This window comes from Homo sapiens, chromosome 3 (assembly GCF_000001405.40).
Source record: "Homo sapiens chromosome 3, GRCh38.p14 Primary Assembly".
Taxonomy (NCBI): domain Eukaryota; kingdom Metazoa; phylum Chordata; class Mammalia; order Primates; family Hominidae; genus Homo; species Homo sapiens.
In genome coordinates, this window is record NC_000003.12 from 188744425 (window position 1) to 188763892 (window position 19468).

General features: G+C 38.6%; 1 protein-coding gene across 52 annotated transcripts in view; it reads left to right on the forward strand.

Annotated features, from left to right (window-relative positions):
• LPP (LIM domain containing preferred translocation partner in lipoma) overlaps window positions 1-19468 on the forward strand; it is a 737651-nt gene that overhangs the window by 591404 nt on the left and 126779 nt on the right. For 50 of the 52 annotated variants that reach the window (NR_164692.1, XM_047448103.1, NM_001375457.1 and 47 more), the window contains one exon: window positions 15689-15858. Coding sequence is in view for 51 of the 52 variants with exons in the window: in XM_047448103.1 (XP_047304059.1) it covers window positions 15689-15858 (170 nt within the window). In the remaining variant the exon portion in view is untranslated. Of the gene's footprint in view, window positions 1-2063; window positions 2195-14207; window positions 14345-14838; window positions 15062-15688; window positions 15859-19468 lie in introns of those variants that run through there. The other 2 variants (XM_047448116.1, XM_017006381.1) reach the window with 2 other exon arrangements.

Genomic DNA, 19468 nt, shown 5'->3' on the forward strand with positions numbered 1-19468 from the left:
GCCAACTGCTGATATCATTTTTTGCAAACAAGTGTAATGAAAAGAGCATATTCTTTAACATCAAGCAAACTAAGGTGCAAATTTTAGCTCTGCATGTATTCATTGTGCTATCTTGGACAAGTTATTTAACTATCCTGAGCCTCCTTGTCTTAATGTGCAGATAGAAGAAGATAATGCCTACCTGATAGGTGGCATAGGAAAAGGTCAAAAACATTATTTTCTACTCCCATTGCTCCCCTTGCCTGAAACATTATAATGGCCAAACAACTGGCCTCCCAACCTCCTTTCCCCTCTTCAGTTTTTCCTCTACATTATAGCTAGAGATTTTGCTAAAATGTATATATGGTCATCCCATTTTTTACTTGAAACTGGTATCTTCCTGCCTATAAAACACATTTTGTTTCTTAGTCTCACATAGGAAATCCTTTTTAGTCTGTCTTGGGCCCAGGACTCCAGTCCGATTTTCCTCCCATTCCTACCTGCCCTCTTGGTTTTGAATGTTCCACACAACTTCATTCCTTTCTCTGTTAATTGGCTTTTCCTTTACTTAGAATGCTTTCCCCCTTCCTGCTTTTTAGGGAGAACAGGGTAAACTGTTCTCCCTATCCTTCATTGAGTCTCCTTTCTTTTTTCTAAAGTTTTTTCTTATCAGCATCCCTCCCCCAATTTGAGCTCATTTTCTAGAAAGAATTAATAGCTTTCTTATATGACTCTCAAGATATTTCTGTGTGGTTCTCTAACAGCCTTCATTTATTTTATATGGTAATTATAGATGTCCATTTGTTCTAGGGAAGGCAGGTGTCAGGTCTTACTCATCTTTATATTCCTGGTTTGACATACAGTGCCTGATGTCTAGTAAGCACTTGATATCTGTTTATTTTAATGTTTATGCCCTACATTATCTATCACAAGTATTAAAGATTGATAGGTGCTCTGTAAATGTTAAATTGAGTTAATTATTTTCAATCTTACAGGAAGTTACATAAGTCATTCCTGTATTCATTTGTGAATTTTCGACATCCTATATTAAGAGTTGCACTTAGAATGTGAGTTCCATGAGGGCAACAGCACTTCTGTCTTACTGCTCTGTCTGCTATGTTGGCCCATAATTAACCACTCAGTAAGCCTTTTGTGAAAACAACCTCAATGAGTCTTCTACCTCAAGTCTTTTGAATAGGAATGGATTTAAAGCTGACCCCTAATACATCTTTCAAACTTTAAGTCAGTAAATTTTTTACAAACTTTTTTAAGTTGATAAATCCCTCAGAAATTATTCTGAGGAAGCTGATGGGATAGAAATGAAACAGACTAAGGGGCTCCAGGCAATCACCACTCCCCTTCGTTCTCCTTCCTCTGTTGGTGGGGATCAATAGAGCAGGATCCTCAAAACTGTGGAGTTCTTTGGAGCATACTTTGAAAGCCTCTAATTCTATTCCACGCTCTAATTTCCAAAAGAGGGAACTGAGGCCCGTGGTGGTTAAATGCCCTTTCCGAGGTTACACAGCTATACATGGTAGAGCCGACCCATGTCTTCTGACTCTCATCCCGTTGCACTTACAACTAGCCTGCATGTTCCCCTTTTCCCATATCGCATGGATAGCATCTTACGCATCTAAGTTTTTTTCTTTAATAATGATCTTCTCTTTTCTTTAAGAGACACCATCACTCCGAGTTGTACCACTTGCACCAGGCTAAATTATTCCTCAGTGTTTACCCCTTTCAGATATTTATAGACCATCATTATGGCACTCCCTAGTCACCTGTCAGCTTCCTAATATGTACATATATGGTTTCTTTAATCTTTCTGTACAGTCGGCTTCTCTAGTCCCTTAATCATTTGTACCATTCTCTCTCTAATGCCTATAAGGGAACTGTTTAAATATAGTCCATATGGGAAAAGTAACCTCAACATGTTGTAACAGGGGGCAGAAAAACACGCTGAATAGATGAAAGGAACAATCTACAGGTTAATTAGTAGTATGGCCACAAATATGTGCACAGTTTTGTTTCAGAAATAAAGCAAGCTGTATTTGTTGTAACTATCTCTTCTTTGAACTTAACAGAATGCTGATAATGCCAAGCTGTGTTTACAGTCCAAATTTTTGCTGAAGACCTTCAACTTTGCACTCTCCCTGTGTGGTATCTCTTGCCCAAGACAGAACTTCAAATAAAATCACATAGCTGATGCAAGAAACCGTTACTGAGCGTATCCATTTTTATGCAGTTTCTGTGGACTTACATGGTTTCTGGGAGCTCCCTATAAGCCTTAGTAAGGGAAAGCTCTTGACTTATCTCACTAGTTATTAGGGATTTGGATATATGTTTACTAAATGTGATAATCTAAGTATGGAAACTACATTAGTACAAGAGGAATCACCCAGAAATACTCTACTGGCATAAATAAAACATTACCTATTGCCCAGTTTTCTCATTTGTTTCATTTTGTAACTTTTATAATGTGTCAATAAGTTTGAAGTCTTGAAGGGCTGCCCAGAAACCACCACAGAGTGGATTTTCCTTACCCTCAATCTGCCTTCATCAAAATTTAGTTTGTGTGTTTATCCTATAAAATTTATCTCATAATAAAAACTGAAGACTAGGACGGTCCTTAGAAAAACACTTGATTCGGTGTATTTATTTTATAAAAGGGAGTCACAGAGAGAAAATGTGGCCAGCTCAGGTACATGGCTTCCTAGGCAATGTTCCATTTCGCAAAACTTTCATTGGTCCAGAAAGTGTACCTTCATTCCCAACCAAATCCTTCCTATAATGCTTTCCATGCCTTTCTTCTGTGGCTCTCTCTGATGATCTCACAGGTCTATAAGCTCTTACAGGTAGAAATATGATTTCTTGCTGTGTTCTTATTATAAAGCATTGCCATGCAACTGAGAAGTAATGAGAGCCAGTGGATTTTATTAGAATGGAATTTTAACTTTTCTACTTTAAAACCCAGTGATTCTGCTAGTCTGGAGGTAGCAAAGAAGGATGACTATTTTCTCTCTCACACAAAGTAAGATTCTGAAGGGGCTTATTCTCTGAATGAAAAACGAGAGGAGAAAAGTAAGAACCTTCTAATGTTTTATTCAAATGTTAACAAAGAAATTTGAGAAGCATGTTTCCTTAAAATTGACACCATTTTTATCCCAAACATTCTGGTAAGTGATAGCAGATGACTGTGCAAGCTTCTATGGAGAGAGAGAGAGGAATTTTTCCAGGAGCATAGTCCCAGTGGGAAGTATTACCTAAAAGTAATACACTAATCACTTTCAATCTTGCATATTTCCACATACTGTGTGCACACATATGTGTATTAATAACTGTTCCCTAGACGTCACTTCAGCGCTCAGACAGCTTAGTGTTGCTATGCGAATGCTGGAGATGGAATCAGATGCAGACTACAGTTTAGCAATGAGAATTCTTCAGAGATACAAGAATGGAAATGGCCTTAGGTCCTGCCTCATGGGTCTCCCTCTGAGCTCCAGTGTAACATCGGGTGTCAAGTATTTGTGGCCCCATCTGCCCACTCCACTGAGAATCTAAATGGCATTGCCAGTATTTGTGAGGTACTCATATCTTAAAAGTCAGTGTACTCAAATCAGTCTTGCATTCTACCTTGTGGATTTTGCATGGAAATTTTTTAGAATGTCATTGCTGATGGAAGCCCCAGATATATAAGTACATCTGCTCCATCGTACTGGTGATTTTTATAGATATTCATAAGAAAATTTATTTTACAGCAGTTTATTTTAGAGGAATTCTTTGCATTTTATTTGTATGTGTGTATACTTATTTTACTGGCAGGATACACACACATGTATATACACACACACACATACATATATACACATACATACATATATATATGAATGTATGTTTGTATCCTGTCAGTAATACTTTGAGGTACCTAGGGCTGAGATTACTATTTCTCTTCCACCTATGGCTCAAATGGGTAAAATAGCTTACTCAAAGTCACAGTTCATACATGTGGTGCAGCTTGAATCAAAACTCAATTCTTCTATCCACAGATTTACCACTACTTGAGTAGTCTGTGGTGTTTAAAAAAAATAATAAACAACAGGCCGGGCACAGCGGCTCACACCTGTAATCCCAGCACTTTGGGAGGCTGAGGCAGGTGGATCACAAGGTCAGGAGTTTGAGATCAGCCTGGCTAACATAGTGAAACCCCGTTTCTACTAAAAATACAAAAAATTAGCTGGGCATGGTGACGTGCGCCTGTAATCCCAGCTACTCGGGAGGCTGAGGCAGGAGAATCACTTGAACCCGGGAGGCAGAGGTTGCTGTGAGCCAAGATTGTGCCGTTGCACTCCAGCTTGGGCAACAAGAGCAAAACTCTGTCTCAAAGTAATAATAATAATAAGACGAAGAAGTAACAAAGCCAAACTGGAAAGTTTCTGTTAAATGAATGTTCTAGATAATACCAACGTATAAAGCAATCATTTTATACCAGCTATGGTCAAACAGGGACCAGAGCCTTGACTTTTTTTTGCCTCAACACAGCTCTGCAGAACCCACTCAGTACCCCATGTCCTACTGCCATTCCTTTGGTTTCCAGAACATTGAGATGTACAAATCCAAAACACCACAGTGTTTCAGAGAGAAATGGCATGACTCTACTGGTTGCAATTGTAATGGAGTTCACCTTGTTCTGGAGTCATACAGAAGCCATGTTGTAGACTTAGTGTCCCACGCAATACTCCTAATTACAATGAAAATCTACTGTTAGGTAGAAGGAGAAATTCCTCACAATCAGGCAACAGCGCCTACTAGTGGGAAGAAACTGATACTTGAGGTAGGGCACCTGGGAGATAGCTCTGTGCATCTTGAGAGAGTGCTACACTGAGAGCCCAAAGGCTCTCAGGTCTCATCTCTCCTGACAGCTTGCTATGACATCTTAATCAATGAATTGCCTCTCTCTTACCCTTTGTTATAGAGTCTGTAAATGAAGAGTTTGGAATGGCTACTTTCTAAATTTTCTACACGTCCTATGACCCTTGAAATCCTCTTAACAATGTATTATGGATACTTTGCTACTAAACGGTAAAACAGAATCCCGAGTAAGATGAATTGGCTTCCTAAGGAAGTAGTGTCAGGGGAGAATAGCACCATCTTTGGGGCCAGTTCCATTTATGCAGGTAATATGGTATGGTCCAGCTCAAAGATCACTGGACTGGGCTGAGTTGCAACTCTGCTACCTACTTCTCAAGTCATGTACAAGGTCATTCCTATGTTAACTCATGTGTTGGGAAGATGATAATTGTCTCATTTAGCTTTTAGTTATTATAAGATTCATATGAGAATATAGAAATTATGAAGTTTTATGTGAATCTGCAAATTTATTTTCAGTCTTTATATATCACAATTTTAATTTAGGCTAATTATAATTTTTATTTTCCCCTTTTTGTTCTATATTCTAAATTCGTATCTCCCATGGAGGCAGGTACTGTATGGACAAAATCTTTTATTAGTCACATATTGTTTTCATCCATTTTGTGCTGCTATAGCAGAATAACTGAGACTGGGTAATTTATAAAGAATGAAAATTTATTTTATCACGGTTCTAGAGGCTGGTAAGTCCAAGATCAAGGCACCAGCAGGCTTGGTTTTCTGGTGAGGGCTACTCTCTGTTTCCAGGATGGTGCTTTGTGCTACCTCCTCACATGGCAGACAGTGGAAGAGCAAGCCAGCAGAATGCCGCATGAAGCCTCTTTCACAAAGGGCTTTATCCCATTCATGACAGAGAAGCCCGTATGGCCTGATCAACACTTTTTAATAAAATCACAATATCTACTGCTGAATTTTGGAGGGAACCAATTCAAATCATAGCACACATCTTTTCTAAAATGGAAAGGGTAATATGATCATTGGAGAAATACTCATTCCTTTGCATATTGGTTTACTATCCAAGCCAGGTGTGGTGGTTCACACTTGTAATTCCAGCACTTTGGGAGGCCGAGATGGGTGGATCACCTGATGTCAGGAGTTTGAGACTAGCCTGGCCAACATGGTGAAACCCCATCTCTACTACAAATATCAAAAAATTAGCCAGCCATGGTGGCACACACCTGTAATCCCAGCTACTCAGGAGGCTGGGGCCAGAGAATTGCTTGAACCTGGGAGGCAGAGGTTGCAGTGAGCCAAGATCGCACCACTGCACTCCAACCTGGGCAACCGAGTGAGACTCCATCTCAAAAAATAAAAAAAAAAGTTTACTATCCAGAGAATCTTGTCCAGGTTAACACTCTTTTTTGTCTGCTTTCTTCTTTTGTGAAACAAGAAGGTAAGAGGGACACTGGAGAAAACCTAATGTTCTTTACAAAATGAGTCATAGTTCTCCATCTGCAAACTGTGGCTCCCATTTATGTCTTGGTGTCAATATGACTATTACATGTTATGTACATGGATTCCACCTCATTTGCAACATAGTCTTCTGCCTGAGCTCTGTTTGTTGGATCTGATCTAACTTTACATGGTCTTAAGTCACACATTGAACTCTTAAGTTCTGTAGGCCTCTAAGCCTTTTTAAGTTTTAGTATTTTCATCGTTAAAATGAGAGTGATTATAACCCTTGCTTTGCTGCCTCCAAATATTATTGAGGGATCAAATGCATTGATAAATAAGATAAAGCACTAGACAAATATAAGGGATGCTTGATGACTTCACAGAGGGAAGATTATTCTGTTGCTGGCTGCTGAAATACAGTAGCTTTAGAAAAACCCCTTTGGGTTCCCTTATTATCAGGTTTGGTCTCAAATAACCAGAATAAATTTGGAGATTTCCTACCACAAAAGCTAAAAGTACCTGGGCAGATTTACCCTTTGAGTGGACCTAAGGGAAATGCAGATTCCCACGGGAGAGATCACGGAGCAGATTCAAACCATAAGGCAAAAATAATTGTTGCAATAGCGGTTCTAACTGTACTAGTAAATATTGATTTTTCTGTTAGCAGATCAATCATGAAATGAATTCTAAATATAGAAGACTGGTTAAAAAATTAAGACGGAGAATGTGAAAATGTCCATGTGTAAAAATTAACTTAAAGAGAAATCTTGCTTTGGCCAAAAGAAATACTACTGTTTCTGTCAGGAATGTTCTGTGATTTAATCAAGTTTCCTGCCTGGCCAGATAATTTTAGGAATTGTGGACTTTTAAAGTAGTAAGTCAGTTTAGAAAACTGGTTAAGTGGACAGATGTAAAGTCAGACTGCCTAAGCCCCAATTCCAGCTTCAATATTTAACTCTGTGGTTGTGGGCAAGGCACATAATCTCTTTATGCTGCCTTTTCATCAACTGTTATGGAGATAATGATAGAACCTACATCATAGAGTTGTTGGGGTGACTACATGAGATAATACAATTAAATACTTAACACCTGGTCCATAAAAAGCGCTGAATAAATATTGACTATTATCATCACCCCGGGGTCTACAAATTTTTGTAGGATTAGGATTAGGATTGAAATTTCTACCGAAAAATTCCATCAGTAAAATATTGATAAATATAAATCTTAACCAACTGCCTCAGAGACATAGGGACCTCTATTTTCCACTCATTGACTGTCATCTTTAGAGAACAGTCCAAAGCATGTGCCTTTCTGTTCTAGTTGTTATGAGCTCTTTATTTTGAAGTTGAACTATATACTTCCTATAGTTTAAAGGAGAAAGAAGTAGGTCTCATGCTGGACACCTTCTAGATGTTACCTCCTCCGAATTTCATAGCCAAGTATTTAAGGCAGTTATGATCATCTCCCTCTTAGAGAAGCCTAGAAAAGGTTACTGCAGTGCTTGACAGCAAATAGAAACTCACCAAGTGCATTTGTTGAGGGATTGACAGAATGGCTGGATAAGTGACTCAACTAAGACCACTTATCTAGTGAGTGCGTCTACTCAGCTGCTTGTTTTGAAGACAAGGAAATTCGGGCTCAGAAAATTTAGGAAACTTGTCTAGGCTGCCAATAGCTAGTAACAAAGGCAAGAATTGCATATCTGATTTTCTTTACACCATGTTACATCTAACTGTTCAAAAGATAACCATGTATTATACTCGAAAATGCAAAACAGGGTTGTTTTTTGTTTTGTTTGTTGTGGTGGTGGTGATGGTATTTTTGTTTTGTTTTTGCTACTTTTCCTGAGAGTGGAAGTTGTTATCAAAAAGTTACTGTCATGACTACTATGTGTATAGATGCTATTAGTTTCATCAAGGTTGGGAATAGGGTATATGTTGCCCAACTTTCTGCCCCTCTCCGCCTCATATTAAAGTTCCAGTTTCCTAGAATATATCTCCTGGGAGATTTGGCACTAGCCATCACTGCATTCCAATACCCCGGGACAAACTACTCTTGGTGGAACACAGAAGCATACAGTCCTTGTTACAGCAGTGGTTCTCAAACTCACATTCCTGATGGAAAGCTAGAGTTGAAGGGTCAACACCCAAGAGCTGCAGTGGAGGACCATCACCTGTCCTGATTCGCCACCTGTGGTAGATCATGACTTTCACTAAGATCCCCTGAGGCTTGTGGGGATGGAGAAGTGATGCTGGACTGGCCCTTCCTCTTTCCCTGCAGGTGTTAATGGGTTCTGCTCCTAAACAATACTGATATAGGTCAGAGTTATGATTGAATTGTATACATAGAAACATGTGCTGATTGAGAAAATGGGCTTTACAAGTCAGACCTGGTTCCAGTCTCAGCCACACTACATTCTGCCTTTGAGACTTTGGCCAGGTGATGGAACATCAGGTTTCTTATCTAAAAAGGAGAATAATTGGTTGGTAGGACTAAATGAAAAAATGTATGTGAAATGCTTAGGACAGTGCTGAGCACAGATAAAAATGCACAATAATTTTCTATTTTTTGTTAGTTTCCTTCACAATACATATATTTACATCAGCGAAACATGCTTGCTTTTGCAACCTTCTGTGGGACTCCCCCTCCTAATTTACCACCTCACCTGAAGGTCTAAGCTAAGCAAATCTCTGTCTATAAATGAATCACATCGTGGTTAGACTTTATAACAACTTCCCCTTGCCAGGAGATCACTCAGCCTTCACTTCATCTCATCTGGTTTGCTGCCCAGGCCTTTATCCACTCATTCCTGAACTCCTCTCCCTGACAACCTTGGGGTTTTGGCTTGTTGTGTGCGTGTGTGTGTGTGTGTGTGTGTGTGTGTGTGTGTGTTTTGTTTTTTGTTTTTTTTTACTTTACCTTAATTTCTCTTTTTGGACTAAGATGTTAAAATGTTTCTTAATGTGACTGTCTCCGAAACTGTTTTGTGTCTACCACTCATCCTAGTGGCAGTCATTGATCCTTTTCTTGTTGCGAGTGTTTGAGTGTGGGTGTGTGTGAGTGTGTATATGTATTTGTAGAGGGAAAAACAAGAGAGAGGGAAACAGACATTGGAGCCACCTTTCCCCCACTAGCCACGTACCTGTTGAACCTTCAAGCCTCTCTATAGAATCAGATATACACAAGCACAGTGACAGAACTACATGTGTCCTACAGTCCAGCTTTTAAGATATGATAAAAACTCTTGTATTCACAGAGCTAAATGGCAATAACCATAGGAGATTGCATATTGCTACATTATGTAAAGACAGAGTCCCAAGAAAATAGTGAGAACTCAGTTTGATGTATGATGTGATATGTGATATCTTACTTTACATGGCTAACAGTTGACATTCTTTGTGGATTCTATATTGTCTAAGGCTACAGAAGAGCCATATGATAAATTCATCGGCAACCCAAAAGAAGCCTGTTCTATCGCAGTGCTTCCAATTAATATAAGTAAACCACTTTCTCTGGCTCAATGCTACCAAAATATTTTATGAGAAAATTTAGCTGATTCTGCTCATGTATATTTTCAATGGATGGAAAGCCATTGCAAACTTTTCAAACTAAAATATAAAGATAGCATTAGGGAGAATACTCTCTCTGGTGAAAAACAACATGTATTATGATGCGTTAGGAATTTCTTTTTTTCAGCCAACTCGTGGTTGAGCAGTCTGTCCCCAAACTGTTTTGCATGCGGACGAAACCTGTTTGGGCGATACTTGTCAGCTTTTCTTCTGACAAGCAGGACAGAAATAGGCACCCCCAGAACACTGAGTTTGACTTGACTCAACATAGAATCACCTGGAGAGTTTTAAAAGTTTCTCTCCTGTAATATCCCACCTCCAGACCAATGAAATCAGAATCTTTGGAGTTGGGAACCAGGGATCAATATTTTTTTTTTTAAGTTTCCCAGATGATTGCAATATACAGGCAAGATTGAGAGTCACTGTCCTAGAGTATAAGCAGTTTAAGAAACAAGTTGTCTATTATTACATGCATCAATACTACAGAGTCCATGAAATAAAAGCTTTGGTGATAAGAAAATGCCACCATCCTAGAGCCTTCAGTTAACATCATATGGGCCTGTCATATAAAGAATGCAAACTCATTCTGTTATCTTTTTGGGCCTTCAGTGGAAGATAATTTTTAAATCAGCTTAATGGAAACTGTGCTTCAGGAAAATAACTTCAGTAGCCATATGTAGGATAAACTGGAGCAGGTTTTGTTTCTAGGAATATGTTGCCATCATTTCACTACCCTTATATAATCTTATTGATTCAACTTTTAGAACCAAGACTTTTTGCAGAATATATCGAAGAATGTGCTTAATGGGAATGCTGATATATCATACAATTGGCATATAGAGCTTCAGTTCATTATCATATTTAAAGGTACAATATTAATTTTGCTTGTGCTTAAAATGTCTATTATAATTCAAGTAGCAAGGAAGACATAAAGAAAAATGTGACCTGGCTTTACATCTGCACATATTTAATACTTTACATTTGATGGTGAATAATGGGAAAGTTTGGGAGTATGTCATGCTCAGTCACCATGCATCAACTCCCAAAATGGCTGTGGACAGCTTTGGTCCTGCCTCAAAACAAGCACTGCTTGCAAAAGAGGGTCTGTGGCTTATTTTTATCAGTTGTGTGGTGATCACAGGAAAAACATTTTAAATAAAAAGTTTATTTTGCCATCATGAAAGAAACAAATTCATATTACCAAAAGAGAAAATAAATATGACAACCCAGCCTGGTGCAGTGGTTCATGACTATAATCCCGGCACCTCAGGAGGCCAAGGTTGGAGGGTTGCATGATCCCAGGAGCTTGAGACCAGCCTGGGAAGCACAGCAAGACCCTATCTGTACAGGAAAATATTAAAAATTAGCTGGGCTTGGTGGCGTGTGCCTATAGTCCCAGCTACTGGTGGCAAGGGCTGAGGGAGGAGGATCACTTGAGCCCAGGAGTTCAAGGGTGTAGTGAACCATGATCGCACTACTGCCCTCCAGCCTGGGCAACAGAGTGAGATCCTGTCACAAAAAAAAAAAAAAAAAAAAAAAAAAAAAAAAAAAAAAAAAAAAAAAAAAAAAAAACAAAGAAAAGAAAACCCATATCACGCTATGCCACTTCTCTTGTTCAACCTGTAGATTTCCCTGGAATGCCACTATTCACCCATGCCATCCCCAAAAATGACTTGTTAAAATTCTAACTCTTCAGATTAGCTCCATTATTAAGACTTCTGTAAAGTCTTTCTGTTGGTAAGAGGAGGTAAATCAGAGATATCAGAACAATCAGGAAGCCATTGCAATAGCCTTTGAAAGGAAGGGTGATTAGGTAGTAGGCATGTGGTGGAAAGCAGGCATTTCTGACACATTGCTGAGGTTGCTATAGATGGGAGAGCAGAGGTGAAGGATAAGAAGAATTGTTGGCTGAATCTAGAGTCAGTACAAAGCAATATATAAAATAAGTAATAATATATAAACACCATTTTTGGTTTTGTTTGGAAATCTTAATTCACTGACAAAGTTCCCCATCGGCTGCCGGCCCTCTGTCATCGGATCTTTTGATTGACTGACTGCTCAGCATTGGCAGCAAGCTCTTCACACCAGCCCTGGGTCTGAGCTAATCAGCTGTGTTTCCTTCATGCTCTGATGCCTTGAAGTTTGGTACTATTCTCCTGGTTTCTCTTGTTTAAAAGTGCTGAGATACTTGTCTAAAAGATGGGCCTTAAGATTGTGGTGTGCTTTTAATAATGTGTGGGGTAAGTGCCTCTAGAGGCAAGCATACACTATGCTTGAGTAACTTTCTCTCCATTCTGAATCTCTCCCTAAAGGACACAGTTTGTAAATGTTTGTTCATGTGAAAAGGGAAGATTCAGGTACCTTTTCTGTCCTACTGATGTGTGGGGCTATTTTTATGTTTTGTTCTTCACTTTTTTCTGTACTTGTGATTTAAAGGTGCCAGACTGGTTACCCTCAAGGCTAGTGTCCCCACTGTATCCCAAGAATAGAAAAAATAATGAGAGGCAGCAAAACTGGCCTGTGTCTGAGTCCAGCATATTAGGCTGACCCACTCTAGAGGAATATTCTCCAAAGCATAAAGTAGAAGATCATTCCTTAGGAATACAATACAGTCCATCTGTTTTCATAGCTGAGAAGGCAATTCCGTGTCATGCCATCATGGAGCCACTGCAGTGTTTTGGTATCCAAGCCATAGTCACTCATTCTCTCCGTGAGGGAAAACTAGAATGTCTTTTCCTCTTCCACCTTTACCTTTCAAAATTCCATCCTTGAAGGTTCGGCTCAAATGCTTCTTTCTCCACACAACCTTTCCTGAGCCCCTGTGAGTGTGGTTTTCCTTCCACATTCCATAGCACTTTCTTCTAAGACGTGTTACATGCTTTGCCATGTGACTATTGCATGTAGGTTGTCTTGACTGTGAGAGGCACTGACATCGTGACATCGTCGAATTCATTTTTGTATATCACACAGAAGGAGAACATAGTCGTGGGCAAGAGTAGATATTTGAGGTTGAATAGATGGACCATTTCAAAGCTTATCTTTTCAGCCTGACCTTTAAGGCTTTGCTCTGGCCGTTCCCTCTAAATCAGTGATTGAAGTTTGCTCCCAGATCCTCATGAGTAGCTATCAAACTCTCCATAAGCCATGTAGGCTCAGGTTCTTGGATTCCAGGTATTACACTTCGGGCATCATAGTCTGAATCAAAATTGCTACTTTTAGCTGCTTAGTAGACTGCCATTACCAATAGTTTAATGAGAACTACTTTTTTAGGGGACGGGGGGAAGTGTGGTCCACAGATCCCTGATAGCCCTTCGTGTACTATGTAGTGAATCTGCTTGACATCTAGAAAAGGGAAGAGTAATATAGAAAAAGAATTTTGTTGACCTGCCTGCATTTAACAAATGTAAAATGTAAAATTACAGCTTTCACAGGAATCTAATATGCTTTTAATAATCATATGGATTGGTAATCCATTTACTCCTAATCCCTAATTCGTTTTCTGCAATGAAATGTTGTCAAAGGGTGGCATGAAGCTGTTAGAATTTAAGCATGATTTTCAAACATAGCACATTTTTTTTGTGGTTTTGTTTTTTTGGTTTTTTTTTTTTTTTTTTTTCAGAATAATTTCAAAAATAGTGCCATATGAAATAGTTTTGTTACTGTTGGCAGGAAAGTCCAAAATGTTATCTCATAATAAAAACAGGTACAAGTTCAGTCTTGGATAAAAACTTTTGAAGTCTGCCACAAACAAATACTATACAAAATTTTTTCATCAAATGTCAAGACTGTGGTATCAAGACTTTATAATGATATCAACTGTAGTGGTGACAGCTTAGTTTCCAATACTTTAACTCTTTTTCCAGCACTTCATATTTCTTTTTGGTTTGAGATGAAGTCTCGCTCTGTCACCCAGCTGGAGTGCAGTGGCGCCATCTCAGCTCACTGCAACCTCTGCCTCCCGGGTTCAAGCGATTCTCCTGCCTCAGCCTCCTGAGTAGCTGTGGTTACAGGCACACACCACCACGCCCAGCTATTTTTTGTATTTTTCATAGAGATGGGGTTTCACCATGTTGACCAGGCTGGTCTTGAACTCCTGACCTCAGGTGATCCACCCACCTCGGCCTCCCAAAGTGCTGGGATTGAAGACATGAGCCACTGCACCCAGCCTTCATATTTCTTATTCCTTAGGAAAAAAACTAAGATGTATACTTTGGGTTATATTTAAAGTCACATTCAAATCCCACAACAGGATATAAAGAAATACTTTTCAGGGCCAAATACAACTGGAGAGGATTAGAAATAAATTTACCTTTTTTTCTCTCACGTTGAAACATCTAGCCCTCCCATGTTTGAGTGTGAAATGGCTGTCAATCCAATGTGATGGAGTGCTGAAAGCCGTCTTCAGTGAGAAGTCTCTCCATAATGCTCCCTAACATCAGATCCATGTTAATCCTGATGCACAGAACTGGGAATAGGTAATATAGCATAGTGTTTAAGAGCACAGATGCTGAAGTTAGACTGCTTAGGCTGGAATTTAGTTAACCATTTGTGTGACTCAGTTTCCTCATCTGTGAAATAGGCATAATAACAGTACCTGCATATAGACTGTTGTGAATATGAAATGAGTTAATATATCTAAAGCCCCTAGAAAAAGTCTGACATATGTGAAGCACTACATTTGCTATACCTTATCTATCAAAGCCTACAGCTTCTGGCTAACATTCCCAGTGTTCTATAATTATTAGATAGAATTTTTTTTAACTTAGTAGAAACAAAGACTAAGAAGGGAAACTAGATGTGGACGTGACGTCTAGCTCAAGATTCCCATGATGGAGCCACATAGAGATATGGATGGCAACCAGCATAATGCCTCTCACTGACATAACTATTTGTCTGAATTTATATTTTATTGTTATTATTTAAAGCTTACTGCAAATTTTAAAAACTGAAACCTGATGTCCATATGTAGGCCAGATGCCACATTAATCAATTTAAGAATGCTGGAGCTTCGCAGAATACTGCATGAACAACGAGAACCGTGGCCCTGAAAGACTCAAAACCCTACAGTATATGAAACTATTGCAGGATGTGTGGATGTTCAAAGGAATAACAGACTTGGAAGCAATGCTTACTGAATTTTGATGTATTAAAGGATGTCAAGTCCAAGAGAGAGATAAGGTCTCAGAAGACAGAACTAGAACCATGGGGTAAGCAGTTAGAATGAGGAAGCACTATGGCTCAGTAGGAGAAAGAACCTTTTAGCCATCAAAGCGATCTAGAAATTAAAGGACTGCCTTGGGATCTGCCTGTCACTGAGAGCTGGCTGCAGAGGTTTTACAATCAGGGCTTTTGTAAAAGGAACTAAAATTTGAGTTTGGACCCAATTATCTTACATTCTAACTGGATGTGTAGAATCTCCAAGAAGAAAGACTCTTCTGTACTGTTTTATAGATTTTGCCTTCCACTCCAAACATCCTGAGTCATGTTCCTTTTATACTTGCATGTGAGATGAGAGTCAGAGCACTGACCTCAAAGCCAGCGACCGGGTTCTACTGTTCCTTTCTGCAAGAACTTAGACTATGAGACTCAATCCCCTCAACCGATTAATGTAAAATCCCCTCCATGCCAATCTTGCAGAGGATAGGGGTGGCTGTACTGGTGATCTTGCTGGGGTAATGGGGTAATAGTACTGGGGTAATGACGGCAGGAGTGGTGGTTCTATTGCTGCTGACGTTATGAACCTGCTTTCTCCTCCACTTTGGCTTTAGCAGGACTGAAGTACTCCTTGGTGTGTTCTTATCAAACCCTTTTTTTTCCAGGCCGCTGTGCTCGCTGTGGAGAAAACGTAGTTGGGGAAGGTACAGGATGCACTGCCATGGATCAGGTCTTCCACGTGGATTGTTTTACCTGCATCATCTGCAACAACAAGCTCCGAGGGCAGCCATTCTATGCTGTGGAAAAGAAAGCATACTGCGAGCCCTGCTACATTGTAAGTTCCAGATTTGTTCCTCAAGCACTTTGCAAAGATGTCTTCTGTGGCTGAATGCCAGTCACTCTAGATAGAATATAGCCATCAGATCTTTGCTTCTTCCTAGACTTCAAAATGTGTGTGTGGGGTGTGTGTGTGTGTGTGTGTGTGTGTGCGTGCGCGCATGTAAATTAGCATATTGTAATTTTTTTCTACACATCCCCCATTCATAAGCAGTCAGAAAGGTGTATTAGCATGGGACTGCCATTCAGTTAGTGGTCTGCTGGGAAGATCATCAGCCTGTGGCTTTCTAGCATGTATGTACAAGCTAAAATTTTCTTTCTTAAAGCATCAGAAAGCTTTCCAAGTAGCTGAGTCACACCTCTTATAAGATCTCACCCTACATTTGAAGTGCCCAGTAGTTTCAAGGAAACTTTACAGAATCTCTGGACTTGTCAGTCCTCTTCCAGAATACTGGGCCCTTTGAGTCCATTTTTATCTACCAAAATGTTTCTTCCCCCTCTTATCCAACAGGTTTTTAATGATGCAAACAGGGGAACTGTTTATTATAAAGCACCTTAAAGAGAAATGAACAGTAATGCTGACTGAGCTAATCATTGTTTTCTTTTATTACAGAACACAAAAACTATATTTTAATAATATACCTGGGTAACTAAAAAATTCTCAGTCATGTTACCTTAGCGTTTTACAATGCTACTTACTTAATCTACCTGTTAAACTATTCTCTGGTAGAGTAATTTGATGAATGAACACAGACTTTTTTCATCTATTGTAAATTTCTTTGCTATCCTTCAGCATGATTTTAATCTTTGTTTAACACATGTTGATGGGAAAAGTAGTGTTTTTTGTTTGTTTGTTATGTAAACCCACAAAACAGTCATGGTTTGTCCCTCAGTGCCCAGAGATTTCAACATAAAAGACACCTTGGTTTCTTTACCAAGGTATTGGGAGTCATACTTGGCTTTACAAGGTTCACATTTATTGAAGACGTTTTTGGCCTGGTTGGTATTTTCCTATAACTTGGCAGCTCTAACCCATTGTAACCTTGGGGTCTGTAGCACAGATCTGAAAGTTCATCAAGATTAAGGCTTCGTAGGATTAAATATGGCTTTGCATCTGTCTTAGGTTCAATTTTATTTCGTTTTCTTTCCAAAGGTAACTTAATACATGTAACATCATTTCTTTCCAAAGGTAGCTTAAACACATGTAGAGCCATACAGTGGTAGAGTTGGAAAAAAAATCTTAAAATCATTTGCGTAATTACTCTCTTTAGCAATGAGAATGCCAAGACATACAGAAGAGGAAAGCGACTTCGTATGACCTATCATTAGTGTCAGAACCAAGGCTGCATTCCGTTATTCACGCTCCACAGTCTTAGATTCTTTGCAGATGCTACATGGTTTTCATTTTCCTAAACATAAAGATAAACAAAGTAATGTACTGTTGATCTGGAAGGAGCAATTATGCATAAGCGAAAGTCTAGTAAACAAAAGCTTACCTCTTTAGAATATAAGAATATTTCAAATATCTTTGAAATCTTTATTGAAAAAAGAAAGGCATTACATAATTCCTTGCCTTTTTAAACAGACTAAACCGGGTGTCATTCACAATGGCTTGGCACCACGTTTATGAAATTATTTATTGCCACGAGCCCTAAGGTAGTGATGTTGGCAGAGTGTGTAGAGGCACCCAGGGTTGTCCTTACACCAAGTAAACACATACTGCTGTGTTTTTTTATAGCTCCTGTCTATTTTTTATCCCTTTTTGACTCCATAGTTGATTTTTGCTACTTTAATGATGCTACTGTGGCAGCAGCCTTCTTCAGTTGTTTTGTTTCAACCCTTGTTAGCTTGAAATCATATAGACAGTATTGGGAAACAGTGTAACAGGGTGGGAAGAACATGAATTTGAATTTCGTTACGTCACTTAGTGCCTCCCCTCCTTGGGAAAATTATTTACTCTTTCTAAGTATCAGTTGCCTCATCTATATAATGGGGACGATGGCAGTTATTTTCCATGAAGAAGAAATGAGACAATCCTAGTAAAGCACACTGGGCCTCTTCAGGAAAAGTAGTGGAATAAATGTTATTCTGGGATTAACTTTAATGATGTTTCTGAAACTGTTTAATATTTCTGAATGTGGGAACCTTACATGTGCAGTGAAATTCACTGGGCTTTAGGAAATTATTATAACCTTTCAGACATACTCCTCGCATTTTTACATGTTTGCTTGCTTTTCTGAGTGCGTAACAAAACTGGAGAAGGTCTAATCTGATTAAATAATAGGTTTCTACAGTGTGTGGGCTCAAGTTTCTATCTCCATTCCAGGCATAGTATGGGTCTCTGTGATTCTGTAGGATGCCAGCCCCTTCTTCTTTGGTTTGTTGTTACTATACTATGCTTATGAGAAGGAAAACTATCCGGGAGATATTTAATCGCGTACTTGGAAGAACTGGGTGAATTCAAATAATGGAAATTCTAACCATTTTTTTTTTTTTACTTCTTTCCCTCATAAGAACATTTAATCAAGGTTTTTCTTTAATGAGATCTATTCGTGGTGACTCTAAAATGTAATTTAATTCTTATCAGAATTCAGTTAAGCTTTACCAAAGACCCTTGTTCAATATTGATTCGAGTTCAGCACAGTCCTCAAGCCCTCAGATGGATGTATCAGAACTTTAATTTCTTCTGAACTTTTATATGTCCAATAAGCTGCATACTAGAAGTGTAAGGAGGTTGAGGAAATTGGGCAAATGAAATAAAACAAGTTGGCTTTGAAGATAGTTTGCATTAAGGAGAATCCTAGAACTATGCGTCTCTCTTGGAACCAAAAGCCTTAGAACAGGAAGCATATTCTGTGTGATCCAGCAAAATTGCCTTTGGTTACACTGTTGAAAACTGATGTCTAAAAGGTATTCCATACAAACCAGAGCAAACCTAGCCCTTGGCCATCAGTCAGTGTGCCTGTCTTTTTTTTTTTTTTAATTGATGGAATGAGAATATTCAAGATAGTGGCTTAATTATTTTTGTATAAGGACCAGCATGTTTGATACTCTGAGTTCAGGAATGAGACCAGTCTAATGTAAATTAAATTTACTTCTGCCTAAATTGGTTGTTGATCAACTTAAGATCCTATTAAAATTAAAAATTTACATGATTTTGAGGGAAAATGCACCAGTAATGTCTGCAGCTTTGGTTCAATGATTTTTAATATTTTCCTGTGGTTTATTGAGTTTGTTCTTAATCTTTGTGCTTAAGTAGTTATGATTAAACAGTTTGATTCAGTATAGCATTGTAATTCTCTTTAATCATTTTACATATTTTGTTTTCTATTTTTTATTTATTAACATAATACAAATGTTCATATAGTTTTGCATTGTTAGTATTCATTTTTAGATTTTTATCTGTTTAGTTTTACATTTAGATTACACACTTCATTTTAAAACCATTTGCCAGTCAAAATGTATTGTGTGTTTTGCAATCTTTTAGAATTGTAAATAACATGCCTATAGATAGTTAATAAAAATTTTATTTTTTATTTTGAATTACATCCTTAGCATAAATTCTTTGATTTATATTACCAAATCAAATTTAATCTGGAGGACTTTTG